The following is a 16,287-nucleotide window of genomic DNA, read 5'->3' as shown; positions in this document are numbered from 1 at the left end:
TTTAATAAAATATCTTTCTAAAAGAATAATTTTTCAGGGATTTTCAATCTTTGTCAAATTGATAGAATGTGTGCTTTCGACAACATGGCTTGTTTAATGGAATGTGAGTTACTTGTAAAATTTCCAAGAGGACTGGTCGGCTATTGTACAGAACATTTTTCCCGTTCGGTTTGCCTGATGTTTTCTCATGATTAGATTGAGGTCATGAATGATTGCGAAGGATACCACAGAGGTGATATGCCCTTCTCGAAGCATGATATCAAAGGGTACATAACGTTGCTGATTATAAGATTTTATAGGGCAGATAGAAGGTGTTTCTCAGTCTCGAATGTGGGAGATAGAAAATCTTTGGCTGCAAAGAAAAAGGAACCATAAACGCAAGATCCTAAGAGAATGCTATTAAAATATTTTTAATTCATAGAGAATAACATTCGAATTAAAGAAGCTAACACATAGGTAGAAAAACACATTAAAAAACAAAAATCGTGACAATAAATATTTGGGATTTTCATCACAGATAAAATCAGTTATACTACTGTAAAGATTAGCTTATTTCAATACGCTACTTAGAATGTTTTAGTGGTGAATACAGATTGGTCAGTTATTTAATAAGGTAAATTGAAGTCTCTTTCTAAAAGGTGGAAGTAAATTTAATGCCCGTAGAAAGTAAAGTTTATTTCTGGATATTTCATGCCACTTTACAAGCACCTGGTTTACTCAAGCTTCAGTCAGCATTACAGAACTGACATATTCCAGTAGATACTAGTTTTAAGATCTTGCTACCGCTAAATGGAACCAGAAATTGAGGGATAAGATGGGGTCTTGTAAGTCTGGATTGGGGCAAAGGAACTCTCAGGGATGGGCACCACGTGAGGGGCTGAAAATGAAAAAGCAACACCTTTGCTGGCATTTGAAGTAAGCAAACTCTCAATTTGTGGTAGCCATAGATACTTAAGAATATTACCAGTCCCACCAACAGTGTAAAAGTGTTCCTATTTCTCCACATCCTCTCCAGCACCTGTTGTTTCCTTTGTGGAAGTCAGTGTGGCGATTCCTCAGGGATCTAGAACTAGAAATACCATTTGACCCAGCTATCCCATTACTGGGTATATACCCAAATGACTATAAATCATGCTGCTATAAAGACACATGCACACGTATGTTTATTGCGGCATTATTCACAATAGCAAAGACTTGGAACCAACCCAAATGTCCAACAATGATAGACTGGATTAAGAAAATGTGGCACATATACACCATGGAATACTATGCAGCCATAAAAAATGATGAGTTCATGTCCTTTGTAGGGACATGGATGAAACTGGAAACCATCATTCTCAGTAAACTATCGCAAGAACAAAAAACCAAACACCACATATTCTCACTCATACGTGGGAATTGAACAATGAGATCACATGGACACAGGAAGGGGAATATCACACTCTGGGGACTGTGGTGGGGTGGGGGGAGGGGGGAGGGATAGCATTGGGAGATATACCTAATGCTAGATGACGAGTTAGTGGGTGCAGCGCACCAGCATGGCACATGTATACATATGTAACTAACCTGCACAATGTGCACATGTACCCTAAAACTTAAAGTATAATAAAAATAATAAAAATAAAAATTAAATGCAAAAAAAAAAAAAAAAAAAGAATATTACCAGAGGGCCCTGAGAACTCTGCGATCCTAAGGAGCAAGGAAGGAGGTTTCTTAAGTACTGGAAGCCTCAGGGCTAAGCTATGAGTTGATAGTACGTATTTCTTGAAATTTTGCTTATGAGAGATTCTACAGCATAAACACAGAGAAAAGCAGAATGCACTTACATGTAATCTTTCTAAACTAGGGCATGAGTATCTGTAACTTAATTCTACAAGTTCCACAATGACAACATTTTTATAGGATAAAATCGTATTCTCTTATGTTCGTTGTTTAAGAATAATTCATGAAAATTATTGCTCTTCTAATATTTCTAATATGGCATGATATAGCCTTCTCTATTTTAGCTTATGTCTGCATGTTCTCCAAGAGATTCCTCACAGACTTGGATTCCTCCCCCGCCCCTAAACCCAGAGACAGAGTCTTCCTCTGTCGCCCAGGCTAAGATGCAGGGATGCGATCTTGGCTCACTGCAGCCTCTGCCTCCCGGGTTTAAGCAATTCTCCTGCTCAGCCTCTGGAGTAGCTGGGATTACAGGCACGTGCCACCACGCCCGACTAATTTATTTTTGTGTTTTTAGTAGAGACGGGGTTTCACCATGTTGGCCAGGCCGGTCTTGAACTACTGACCTCGTGATCTGCCCGCCTTGGCCTCCCAAAGTGCTAGGATTACAGGCGTGAGCCACCACGTCCAGCCGGATTTTTTATGTGATAGTCATCACTGATGACCAGATAAGGCAAGTCCAGAAAATATCTACAAACTTTTAAGAGGCAAACTGAGGCTCCAAGGAGGTTTCTTTATTATTAATCTTTGTACAGAAATATTTTAGTATAAAATTCCCTCTCCTTTAGAGAATATTTACATTACAAAATGAATAAATGTCAATTCCATTGATTGGAAATCAATTGCAGATTTCTACGGCAAGTGTCAACCAACATTACAAAACAGTTTCAAATCAAATATTCTTTGTGTTTACATTTTTATAAGAGCACTGTTTTTGTTTTTGTTTTTGTTTTTTTTTGTACCAGGACTATCTGTTATAGTGCCAAGGTAGTCACGAATTCAATAATAAGTCTCAAAATACTACCTAGTATGATGATTAACATTATATGCCAATGGAATCAAGATGTATTACAGTTTTAAAAATGTATATATTAATAATTTATACTGTCTTTTATAAGACCAAGTTTAAGTTTTTAGGTGGGACTTAATGCCTGGAACTCATAAATAGAAATCTCCAGGTGTTGCCTAATTTTCCATTACAATTTTAGTAAATATGGGACCTTAAAAATCATAAATAAGGAATCTGACATTCCTTAGCAGAGAGGCCGATTGACCTCCTCATTGGAACCTGAATTACTGTCTCACATCACCCTCCTTTCTTTCCGACATCAACTGTGAAATTCATTTTTATTCACTTTTATTTTTCATAATTTTATAATTCATTTCTTTTCTTTTACCTGCAGGCCTTGTGCTGCCACACCTAAAAAATGGCTCCTGCACCCATGTAAGAAGCAATCTGCTTTCTCAGCCATCTTGGCTCACCTGTTCTTTGACTACCCCACCCTGCCTGGGGCTCCAGTACTGAGTGTATCTACAGTGCTATGGGGACACCTAGGAGAACTCTAACCAGTCTTGAGATGGGCTTGCTGTGGGTAAGACAGTGAAATTCAAGGAAGGAATAGAAGACGGTGGAGAGAAGAATAGAAAAACACTCTGGACAGAGAGGAAAGAGCATGAGTGAGAAAAAGCCTGGGAGCTTTGGGGAAAATAAAATAGTTTTGAAGGGGCTGAAGCTAAAGTGTAGACGAGGGGCAAGTAGAGGGAAGATTAGGAGACGAATGGACCCTGATGACGCAAGAGCAGGAGCAGCGCTGTTCTATGTATGGCATGTGGAAAATGTGAGACTTCCATTTCAGGGCAATGGGAAGTTGAGGGAAGATTTCAAATAGGAGACTGACGCAATCACATCTCTATTCTAAAGAGAACAATCTTACTGTATTTTCAAACCTGAGATTGGATCAGACAGAATCAAGGATTGAGAATGTTACAATACTCTGGGATCACATAAGGAATAAGCACTGCAAAGATCAGATTATTTCCACATAATTTCTTAAAGTGATAAAGCATAGGTGGTAGCAGTAATTACAGAACACTCTGCTTTTTATCAATGTGATAATAGGGAACCTCTTAAACCAGACATTAAGTAGGAATCCTGTTAAGGCAGAAAATATATATATTTTTCTCTCTATATATATGTATATATATGTGTGTTTATATATGTATACATATATGTGTATATATGTGTGTGTGTGTATCACTGTGTCACCCACACAGAGAAAGAGATCTGGGAACTGCCAGTTGCTTCTCAATATAGGCAGAACAGAAAGTCAATTTGAGCAGTGCTTTGTTCTGTGAAGAGGCTTTTCAGTGGTTTCTCTTAATTGTACAAATTTGTGCGGCTAAGCAAAGTTACCACTTCACTTCTTATGCATTGCTCTGCTCACAGCCTAGACACTAGGAGTCCAATGGAGTCAATTCTGAGAGCAGGCCAGGTGAGGTCAAGCTCACACCTGAGTCTCTAACCAGGGGCCTTAGTGTTGTGGAGAAAAGCTGGATTCACCAGGTACTATTTATTGGGAAAAAGTAATTAATCACACCTGTGTCAGAGAGCTGTGACGTTGGAACCCAACTGTATTACCTTGTGTTTGAAAGTGGGAATGAAGGACTATTATCCTTTCCTCTGAATCTCAATAAGAACCAGGACTTGATAGAAATTCATGGAGCAGGGTGGAGCTTAGGAATAAGTGATGTATGTCCACCAAATAAGGGCAAATAAGGATTAAAAAGGATAAATAGTAGTTATGAAAGTAATAAATGATGGGACTGTGTTTGTACCTTTGGCCAATGAACTAGGATATGCCAATTACACAACAGGTTTTTAGCATCTGAATTTTGGGAGTCACCCATTCATATTCCATTTTATAGTCTCTTGATTTTATTTAAGCCTATATTCTTTGCTTTAAATTCTCATTTTCACCTAATACACGCTTCATCCATTAAATCCAATTCAAATGAAACTTCTTCCAAAATGCAGGCCTGCGCTTTCAAAAAATACTCATTTAATTTTTCTTCCTCCTTCTCTTCTCCTTTCTCCATAGACTTTGGAACATATTTCTGTTTTATCATAATATAGTCCTTTCAGTATCTGCTTTGCTCACATATCTAGCCCAGCAACTTGACTATGCATTCCCCAAAGGCAGAAATTATATCTTTATTTACCTTCGTATTACCAGGACCCATTACAGCATCTTGAATATATTAAGAACTCAATACATAATCTCAAATTAATGAATAACCTGCTTAATATCCTTTGAACTTTCATTTTACCTTGTTTCCCTTTTTTTAAAGCTTCATTAATTAAAGGCTACATGTCTACATGTCTCCACAGCCCAAATTTATCGTGTAAACTAGGCTTCACATTGTAAGTAAGTACAGAGCCTCCTCATTCAGGTATTATTTCAGTGGTATTATTCCACACCAGCTTGCAAAAGTCAGTTACCACATTTTCAGAAATTCTGTGAGCAGGCTGTTAAGCACAGTCATTGAAAATTAAATTATAGAAATACAAAAAAAATTAAAAACAAAAATAATAGATACTCAAAACTTCCAAATTATTTTGCTACATTTTACCATTCATTCACTCATCTTTTGAGATTGTTTACAGCTATAGTATCCGTATGGTGGAAATACTATACAATAGTGTACTACTGCACATCTCTTCTCAACTATATGTTTAATGACATTATGTTGGTAGCTTGAAAAAGACGATAGGGGGAGTATTTACTCCATACATTGGCAAATGCTACAAATCAGGCTATGATTTATTGTTTTGTTGACTGACTGTACTTAAAATGTGACAGGGAAAATGTTAATAATGCAGGTTAAATTAAAAGTATGTCGTGTCTATAGCTGCCATATTGGGAATAGCACAAACATCAAGAAAATATTCTCCTACTAAAATATGATTCCGCAAAGAACTCATTTACATCACTGATGAGTGAGTAAAGTTCTGATATGCACCTCCATTGTTTTATTAGCTAATGTAAACAAAAATATGAACTGTATTCTTGGCAGAACTACATTTAGAGCCAAGTGTTAAACATTTACCAGATGCTACTGTCTATAAAATTATTTTTTACATACATAGTATGCATATTTTAATAGCTTTACTGAGATACAATTCACATAGCATGAATTTGTACAATTCCATGGTTTTCTGTATATGCACAGAATTGTACAATCAGAACCACAATCAATTTTAGGACACTTTTATCACCCCAAAAAGGAACCCTGTACCAAGTGGCAGCCACTCCCCATTTTAGCCCCTAGCAACTACGAATCTACTTCTACTTTCTGTCTCTATGGACATCTGGTATAAATGTAGTCATACAATATTATTGCCTTTTATGTCTGGTTTCTTTTGCTTAGTTTAATGTTTTCAAGGTTTATTCATGTTATATAGCATGTATCAGTAATATCCCATTGTGTGAATATATCCCATATGTTGATTTTGTTTATCCATTCATCAGCTGATGAACATTTGGGTTGTTTCCACTTTTTGGCTATTGTGAATACTGCTGCTAAGTTTTTGTGTGGACATTATGTTTTCATTTTTCTTGGGTACATACCTAGGAGTGATGTTGCTAGGCCATAAGAGAATCTTATGTTTAAATATTTGAAGAAATAACAAATTGGTTTTCAAAGTGGCTGTGCCATTTTACATTCCTGCCAGCAATGTATGAGGGTTCCAGTTTCTCCACAGGCTTGTCAACACTTCTTAGCATCTGTCGCTTTGATTATAGCCATCCTAGTGAGAGTGAAGTAGGATCTCTTTGTGGTCCCTAACATTCATATTAAACCAAAATTTTATTATTAAATATAGCTATTTTGCTAATCACCAGTACTGTTCAAAATTATGAAAACATCAAGATAAAAAGGCTTCTCATTGGATCGTAGCATGCAATTGTCAACATCATATCTAAAATGCTTTTTATTTACCTACTTTTGTGTTATAAACACTATAATGAATTTATAAAATGATTTATAAAATGTATGATTATAAAATCAGACTATATTTTTACTTGGCAAGTTTTAGGAACTAAATAAATTATTGTAGGCTTGCTTTATTAAGAAATACTGAAAATATTCCATTCCAAATATTTAAAAGTAAACATATGTTAAACAAGAATATACAATGGGACTCACAGTATCATCTCCTTTAAATTCAATAGAAATATGCCTACAAGCATTATTTTTTTTTTTAAATTTTTACTTTCAGGGGTACATGTGCAGGTTTGTTATATAGGTAAATTATATGTCACAGGGGTTTGGTGTACAGATTATTTCATCACCCAGGTTATAAGCATGGTATCTGGTAGGTAGTTTTTCCGTTCTCAGCCTCCTCTCACCCTCTACCCTCCACCCTCAAGTATACCTGTATTGTGTACTCAATGTTTAGCTTCCACTTATAAGTGAGAACATGTGGTATTTGGTTTTCTTTCCCTTCATTTACAATAATGGTCTCTCGCTCCATCCATGTTGCTGCAAAGGACATGATATCATTCTTTTTGATGGCTGCATAGTATTCCATGGTGTATATAAACCATGTTTTCTTTATCTAGTCTACCATTGATGTGCATCTAGGTTGATTCCATGTCTGCTATTGTGAATAGTGCTGCAATGAACGTACGCATGCATGTGTCTTTATGGTAAAAACAAATTTATATTCCTTTGGGTATATACCCAAAAATGGGATGCTGGGTCCAATGGTAGCTCTAAGTTCTTTGAGAAATCAAACTGCTTTCCACAGTGGCTGAACTAATTTACATTCCCACCAGCAGTATATAAGCGTTCCCTTTTCTTCACAACCTTGCCAGCATCTGTTATGTTTTGACTTTTTAATCATAGCACTGAAACTTTAAACTGTTTTGGGCAGTATGGCCATTTTAACAATATTGATTATTTTTATCTATGAGTGTGGAATGTTTTTCCATTTGTTTGTGTCATCACTGATTTCTTTCAGCAGTGTTTTGTAATTTTTATTGTAGAGATATTTCACCCTCCTGGCTAGCTGTATTTCTAGGCATTTTATTTTATTTTTTGTGGCTATTGTGAATGGGATTGCATTCTTGATTTGGCACTCAGCTTGGATGTTGTTGGTATATAGAAATGTGCCTACTAGCATTCTTTTCAGTTTTTTGTTTGTTTGTTTGTTTTGAGATAGGGTCTCACTCTGTTGCTCAGGCTGGAGTGCAGTGAAACAATCACGGTTCACTGCAGCTTCAACCTCCCGAGCTCAAGCAATCCTCTCACCTCATCCTCCTGGGTAGCTGGAACTATAGGCATGTGTAACCATGCCTGGCTAATTTTTTGAGACAGGGTCTAGCTTTGTCACCCAGGTTGGTGTGCCTAGCTAATTTTTTATTTTATTTTTAAATAGAGACAGGGTCTCCCTATGTTGCCCAGGCTAGTCTCAAACTTCTGGGCTTAAGTAATCCTCCCACCTTGGCCTCCCAAAGTGCTGGGATTACAGGCATGAGCCACTGCACCTGGCCAGCATTCTTTTAATATGATAATGTTTTAGAAGTTTTACTAATACAATAGGATATAACAAAGCAATGAGATGTTTTAAAAAGCTGATAAAAGCATCATTATTATTATTATTGTTAAAGTTTATAGGAGTGTATGAACATAAAATGTGTACAACTGTTTAATGGAATATTGTTAAGCAGATTAACTAGCTAACATTTGGAAAGTGCATAAAGATGAAAATTGCCAAATAAAGGCTTCATATATTGAACCAATTTCAATAAAAACATTGTTTGAAGATAACCTGATTGCATACTTAACCAATTAAAAAGCCCTATATTTTGACTTTTTAAAAAGTTATTTTAAATATTCAAATCTAAGACATATATTGTAATCACTTACTAGCAAAATTTAAAAATTTGTCCTTTTGATATAACATTCTTTTGTATTGGTATTCCAAAATATAAAATTCTCTATAGTTTGAGTTATTTTAAACAAAATATAATCACGTAAAAATAAGACTCACTATCCTATAGATCAAATGGAGTCTATGTGGTAATTCTCAAAGGAGGGGCTACCCATTTTTTTCAATATATTTGGATAGAACTTTAGGTCCAGACAAAAATACCCTTAAGAAACTCAAAAGAGAATATGCAAAATAAAACCAAGAGAGAATGTGGGTCTTAAGAGCATAGATTCTAAAATTATTAAAAAAGTTTGCTTATATATATATATATATATATTTTTGAAATGGGGTCTTGCTATGTTACCCAGCCTGGTCTTGAACTCCTGGGCTCAAGCGGTCTTCCCCTCTCCTGAGTAGCTGTGATTACAGGCACAAGGCTTGAAATTTAAAAATGAAACACTATCTGCCTAATATGAAATATTAGATACTCCATAAGAGCATCTACCTCAGCCTATTGCAACCCTGCAGCAATAAATAATTGATGAAGGCAATTCAGAAGAAAGCCAGTTTTCCATAGTGGGGTAAGTTTGTAAATCTGGCAAATTTGAGGGGTTTTTTTTAAACTACATGATTTGTAGCAATAAATTTAATGTACTTACAGTTTAGCTATAGTTAATGTGATTTAAATTTTTTTAATCTTATTCTCTAAGAGACACTGATTTTTATCATAGTTTTGCCAGCCTTAAGAAGAAACTCTGTAGTTAGTTATGGTCTATGATATTTAGAAATCATTATCATCCATGATTTCTACAGTTACTAATTAGAAAATAGAAGAGATCCTATTTATACTAGCAATAAACAATTAAACAAATCCATTCCCAAGTTACATTTTAGATGTAATGCTAATGCTAATAAAAGTCCAATAAGATGTAGAACTCAACAAAATCTATATTTATTTAGAAATTTAAGTAGGTAGATATTGTCAACAACTATCCTAAAGAAGTGTAATGATGATAGATCTGGACATTACGTTGTTGGTCTAAACAAAGAGCAAAATGTATTTTAAAACAATTATAAAAAAACAACATCATGTTTATCCCGCAGGCAGTGGTACAACTCTTTGAAATCAATTGTAGTGCTCAGATATGGTACCAGATTTAACTCCAGGCAATGAGTTATCAGAATTGCATTATTTTCTAAAAACAAAAATTAGTTTCATATAATATAGAAAAATAAATGTGGGATTTATTAGAGTTAAATATTACTATGAAATAAATATACTATATAGGAGAAAGTATATATTTTATAAATATGTGGAGGAAAAATAATTTCTTAAAATTGAAGTCTAGAAATAACAAAAAAGTGCAAGATTAAAAGATTTAAATTTATAATTAGTAAAATTCAGTAGAATGGAAAGTGATACAAAGAAAAAACAGAATGATTATGAATTTTTATTTTTTGTGTTTATTTAATGTGTGTCTGGGTATGCTTTCAATTAAAAAGGAAAAATAATTTTAAAACTCACTTAGCATAGCATCTAGAATGGACATTAAAAAATTAATAGATTGACATTCCAGATATTCAACTTGAAAATAATTAGTGCTAGATAGATTGTGATAGGAACTTTAGGGAAAGTTATTACTAGCAATTACTAATGCTACCATTAACTTTGCTTTTTCTTGCATATTTCCACTAACTTTCATATCAGTTTTTATTTTATACTCCCATATATTCTACAATGTCATTTAGCTTAGAGTCATATGGCTTAGATGTTACATTTTTTTCTTATTTTACTTAAGTCAGTGAGTTCCAAATTTATTGTCAAAAAATTTACCTCCACCCCCCACCAGATTTAGATTCAGCAAGTCAAGTCTGGAGAGTTCCAGGGATTTGAATTTTTAACAAGCACCCTCAGGTGATTTTTTCATGCAAGTGATTACAGTTAACTGTCCAGAACAATTTGTTTTTACCTTGGAATTTGTTTAAAGTGGAACTGGGGCTCAGAAAAGCAACAAAATTGAAAAATATTAGGGCAGGTCCTGTAAGCAGGAAGCAAGGACAGGGAGGCTGGAGAAGAGGAAAGAGAAAGAGGGTTCACAATAATGGCAGTTGTAGGTAGAGAAGTAGCTGGTGTAGACAAGAAAGTAGGATATAAAACTGGGTCACTGGCAACCCAACCAGGCTACAGAAATATATATATATATATATATATATATATATATATATATATATATATATATATATATATATATTTACAAAGTTATGTAGAAAGAAATATCTTTCATTGGAAAACTACTCATTGGTCTATGGCACACCCTTCCAGATTATTGGATTCCTGCTTTTTTATGTTTTTTTTTTTGTTGTTTGTTTGTTTTTTTGAGACAGAGTCTCGCTCTATCACCCAGGCTGGAGTGCAGTGGCGCGATCTGGGCTCACTGCAAGCTCCGCCTCCCGGGTTCACGCCATTCTCCTGTCTCAGCCTCCCGAGTAGCTGGGACTACAGGAGCCCGCCACGACGCCCGGCTGATTGTTTGTATTTTAGTAGAGATGGGGTTTCACCGTGTTAGCCAGGATGGTCTCGATCTCCTGACCTCGTGATCCACCTGCCTCGGCCTCCCAAAGGCTTTTTTACTGTCTTTGAACTATATTTTGACTCTGTAAAATGTAGGACACTGATAGGGGTACAAATTCTCTCCTGTCTGATAGTGATTTAATTGACTCACCTCTCCTATCCCCCCTATAACCTGGGGAAAAAAACAATTTTGTCTCCATTTACAATTCATCTCAACATTTCTTTAATCTGTGTAAATCTGCTGCTTTGATATTTCCTTTGAACTGGTCATAACATCTGCTTGGTCCCCTCATATCACATCAGCAAAAAATTTTTTAACATGTATTCATTCTTCCATCTGTGTGGGAGTCACGACTATACATGTTTCTGAAAATTATCTATAAAAGGGAATATATTTGCCTTATTGTTCATTATGGCTCTGACATTTGTTGGATTACTGAAGGATTTTATGAACACTCTCCTTATCCCCCTTTTTTTCAAATATAAGAATCAGCAACAAGCAATGGGGAAAGGATTCCCTGTTCAATAAATGGTGCTAGGAAAACTGGCTAGCCATATGCAGAAAACTGAATCTGGACCCCTTCCTTACACCTTTATACAAAAATCAACTCAAGACGGATTAAAGAAAGACTTAAATGTTAGACCTAAAACCATAAAAACCCTAAAAGAAAACCTAGGCAATACCATTCAGGACATAGGCATGGGCAAAGACTTCATGACTAAAACACCAAAGCAATTGCAAAAAAAGCCAAAATTGACAAATGGGATCTAATTAAACTAAAGAGCTTCTGCACAACAAAAGAAACTAGTATTAGAGTGAACAGGCAACCTACAGAATGGGAGAAAGTTCAATCTACCCATCTGACAAAGGTCTAATATCCAGAATCTACAAGGAACTTAAACAAATTTACAAGAAAAAAAAAACCCCATCAAAAAGTGGGCAAAGGATATGAACAGACACTTCTCAAAAGAAGACATTTATGCAGTCAACAAACATATGAAAAAAGCTCATTATCACTGATCATTAGAGAAATGCAAATCAAAACCACAATGAGATACCATCTCACACCATTCAGAATGGCGATTATTAAGTAGTCAGGAAACAATAGATGCTGGCTAGGCTGTGGAGAAATAGGAATGCTTTCACTCTGTTGGTGGGAGTGTAAATTAGTTCAACCATTGTGGAAGACAGTGTGGCGATTCCTCAAGGATCTAGAACCAGAAATACCGCTTGACCCAGCAATCCCATTACTGGGTATACACCCAAAGGATTATAAATCATTCTACTATAAAGATGCATGCACACGTATGTGTATTGCAGCACTATTTACAATAGCAAAGACTTGGAAGCAACCCAAATGCCCATCAATGATAGACTGGAAAAAGAAAATGTGGCACAGATACACCATGGAATACTATGCAGCCATAAAAAAGGAATGAGATCATGTCCTTTGCAGGGACATGGATGAAGCTGGAAGCCATCATCCTCAGCAAACTAACACAGGAACAGAAAACCAAACACTGCATGTTCTCACTGATAAGTGTGAGCTGAAAAATGAGAACACATGGAATAGGGAGGGGAACATCACACACTGGGGCCTGTCGGGGTTGGGGGCAAAGGGAGGGAGAGCATTAGGATAAATACCTAATGCATGCGGGGCTTAAAACCTAGATGACGGGTTGATGGGTGCAGCAAACCACCATGGCACATGTATACCTATGTAACAAACCTGCACATTCTGCACATGTATCCCAGAACTTAAAAAATTAAAATTAAAAAAAGAATCAGCAATAAAATTTTTATCTTTATTTAAGTCCAAGCTATTTAGCTTGTTATCAAGAGCAACTATCGTTCTTTTCTTTCAGTCTCTAATTTGCTGTAATAAGCAATTTCTGATAAGGCAATTCTAGTATGTGATTCAGAGAGCCAACCACCACAGCTCTTCCGTACCCTCTTCCATTTAGATATCGAAAAAACTCCTCCACCTCTCATCTCTGATACACAAGTGATAGAGCTAAGACTGCTTAGCACATTTAACCAGAAATACAGGAAATTAGCATTAGAATTCGACAAGTTAAGGAGAAGAGAGACCTTTATTTAATTTGTCTCTCAATTTTGTTTCTTTGTTTTCCTTCAAATAATAAAAGAAACAAATTTAAGCTATGGCCTAGGGATCTGCACACATCAAATATATCAGTCAGCCAGGTCTGCAGTCCTGAAGACAATGGTATTCTTGCTGCCTCCAGTTGATACCTGTAAAAGCCACAGTAAATTGCACTAAATGCTTCTGCCTCCTTTTTGGCAGAAAGGTGCACAGTCAGCTCAACCTCAACAGGTTCAGAAGGAAGCATGCTAAAATTGATCATAAAAAATCATTCCTATCTAAAATGAGAACAATGCTTGTCACACTGCAGCCTTTTAACTAGGCCATGATTTGAGGGGTCTTAGAGGAAAAACAATACTTTTTCCCTTCAACCAGTAGATTCCAATCAGCTAAGTGGAGCACAGTTCTAACTGGGTATCATATAGCCATTTCTAAAACTATGAGATCAGAGTCTCTCTCCACTAGAGGACACTCTCTAACTTACTGAAAAATAAAAAAGCTCTCTTTTTTTAATTAAAAAGAAAATTCTCCTCTAATTAAAAAGCATCAACATCCAGACATTTTACTCTTTGCAATTAGGAAACAGTGAGCATTTTGTTCTTAACTAAGATGTTGAATAGTAGGGGGATTTTAATTTCATTTGCACCATTAATCATGTATATTAAAATTACTCTACGGTCATGGTAAAGATAAATGTTTTGCCGAAGACTCCCCATTTAAGATAAAAGCAAAGTGGTTTACAAAACATATTTATCTTTTGTCATTAGTTACACTGAATGGCTCTTCTAGAAAGCTTTATTCAGAAATGAAAAAAGAGAAGAATTTCTTTGTCTCTCTCTCTCTCTCTCTCTCACACACACACACACACACACACACGGAGACAAATGAAGTTCGTTGGAACTTCATTAAGATCTTTTACCTAAATAAGTACTAGGACCTACAGCAGATAATAGTTGCCAATATCAAAGCACAGATAGTTCTTTGGAAATCAGAGATTTATCTAAGAATTCTAAAAGAAAGGAAAAGTAATGAAAGGGGTACGTTATATTAAGCTCATAGTTGAGGATGTGATTGCTGAAAGATATAACAACATCTGCTCAAATTTCAAGGAGACAAAATCACAAGAGGAAAACAAGGTATGAATTTTAAATTTGCTAACCATAATTCAGCTGTAGTGTCAGATTTCTTTATGAAAATAGATTTTATACTACATTACTATATATTTTTGTAGCTTTTAGGAACAAAGCAACTCAATTGTTTGATCAATAGATTATAAGAGAATTTAAGTAACAACAAATAACTTGGAGTTAATTAAGTTAATATAAATTTATAGTACCCATGGTGAGTGCTCACTCACTGTTAGCAATTATTATTATTATTAGTAGTAGTATTACTATTATGGGACAAACATTACTGTAAGTGATGATATATAGTATATATATCAAGTTAGGCCAAATTATGCCTTTCAGGAATCAGAGGGCTGCGCAGTGAACTTGGAATAAGCTGCTGGGGGATTTCCCACAGTAATCAAATGAAGAGAGGCAGTAGCATGGCTCCTCTAGAATAGAGAGGAAATCTTATTCACTTGAAGGAAAAGGGCCTGAGAAGTGGGAATATTATTACCACATTGTGCTGGGTAGTAAAAAGATTCTTGTAAGGGCTCAAATTTTAGCTCTTGATGGCTGTTTTCTACCTGCATGAAACAAAAGTTCATGGTGTCTAGAACAATCGGTGGACACCAGCCAGAAGAGGGGGTGTCCCTCTTGTTAACATCAAACATTTAACACCCAGATGCCCTTGATGACCTCACCCCTGGGAAGGTGTGATGTTGCACCTGAGTGTTGAGAAGATGGGTCTTAGATAAATGATGCGGGAAAATGATGACTATACAGTAGAAATTACTCACCTGCCAGGAAATTGATTTGCTCTAAAAGGCTACTCAGAAACTCCTGGTGATGATGAAGGGCAGAAAGTACAGCCATTGTTACCCTTGAGTTGAGTGGATGGAAGAAGTACCTCGTGATTTGCTTTCTGACAAAAACATCAGATCTGCTTATAATTGTACTCATTTCGAAAGTTTTTCAAGTCATCCACAAAGTGAACATTTTTTGTAATGCAGATATCTTTAGGTTTTAATACAGAGGTCTTTTTATCCTCCAATATTTGTGATTACATCTTGATAAGGCACATCCTTTATTTCTGCTCTTTTAATTACATAGTCACTATTCCAAATCCTTTCTTGATTTATTTAACTCTTACAGTGCTTTCTCATCTTTCCAGAGTCCTACACATTTAAAGCAAATTATTGCATTTTTAGCCTCCAAGTATATTTAAATCAGCCATTAAAAATGCATAAAGAAAGCATACATCTGTGCTCATTACTCAGTAAATTCTTTAGACCTCAGTATCATGAGCAGTTGAAACAAAAAGGAAAAATATGGGGGGAAAATTGGAATATGAAAAGGAGGAGCAAGACGGAAAGAAAAATGAAAGGAGGAGGAAAGTAAAGAATATTAGTGGTGGTGAAAGTGAAATACCCCTAGCAGTTTATTCAAATGTCAGTGACCACTAGGGGTCTGTTCAAGAGAATCACAACTTACATGTAACCCTGTCCAAACACTGCCTTATCTTTTTTGTGCTGAATACGTCATCTCCAAACCCTGGCTGATACCTCTTGAGGCAGAGACCACTAAATGTGTCCCAGTGTCTATTAGTCCTTTCTTCCTTTTAGTAGTATAGTCCCTAGAATTTTAGGTAAGCACGTGGCTACCCAGTTGTAGACCACATTTCTTAGCTTCTCTTGCAGCTACATGTGGCCATGTGCCTGAGACCGGGTCAACGAGATGTATGAAGAAGTGATGTGTGCAATTTCCTGGTCATTTCCTTTATGATAAAGCTGCATGCCCTGGAGTTTATTTTTCCCTTTCCTGCAGACTGGAAAGCAGATGTATCAG

General features: G+C 35.8%; 1 protein-coding gene across 3 annotated transcripts in view; it reads right to left on the bottom strand.

Annotated features, from left to right (window-relative positions):
- IL1RAPL1 (interleukin 1 receptor accessory protein like 1) overlaps positions 1 to 16,287 on the bottom strand; it is a 1,369,273-nt gene that overhangs the window by 39,350 nt on the left and 1,313,636 nt on the right. The gene's annotated exons all lie outside the window — the stretch shown is intronic.

The sequence above is a fragment of the Homo sapiens genome, chromosome X (assembly GCF_000001405.40).
Source record: "Homo sapiens chromosome X, GRCh38.p14 Primary Assembly".
Taxonomy (NCBI): Eukaryota; Metazoa; Chordata; class Mammalia; order Primates; family Hominidae; genus Homo; species Homo sapiens.
Note: the sequence above shows the minus strand (reverse complement) of the source record. Positions and strands in the feature narration are given on the sequence as shown.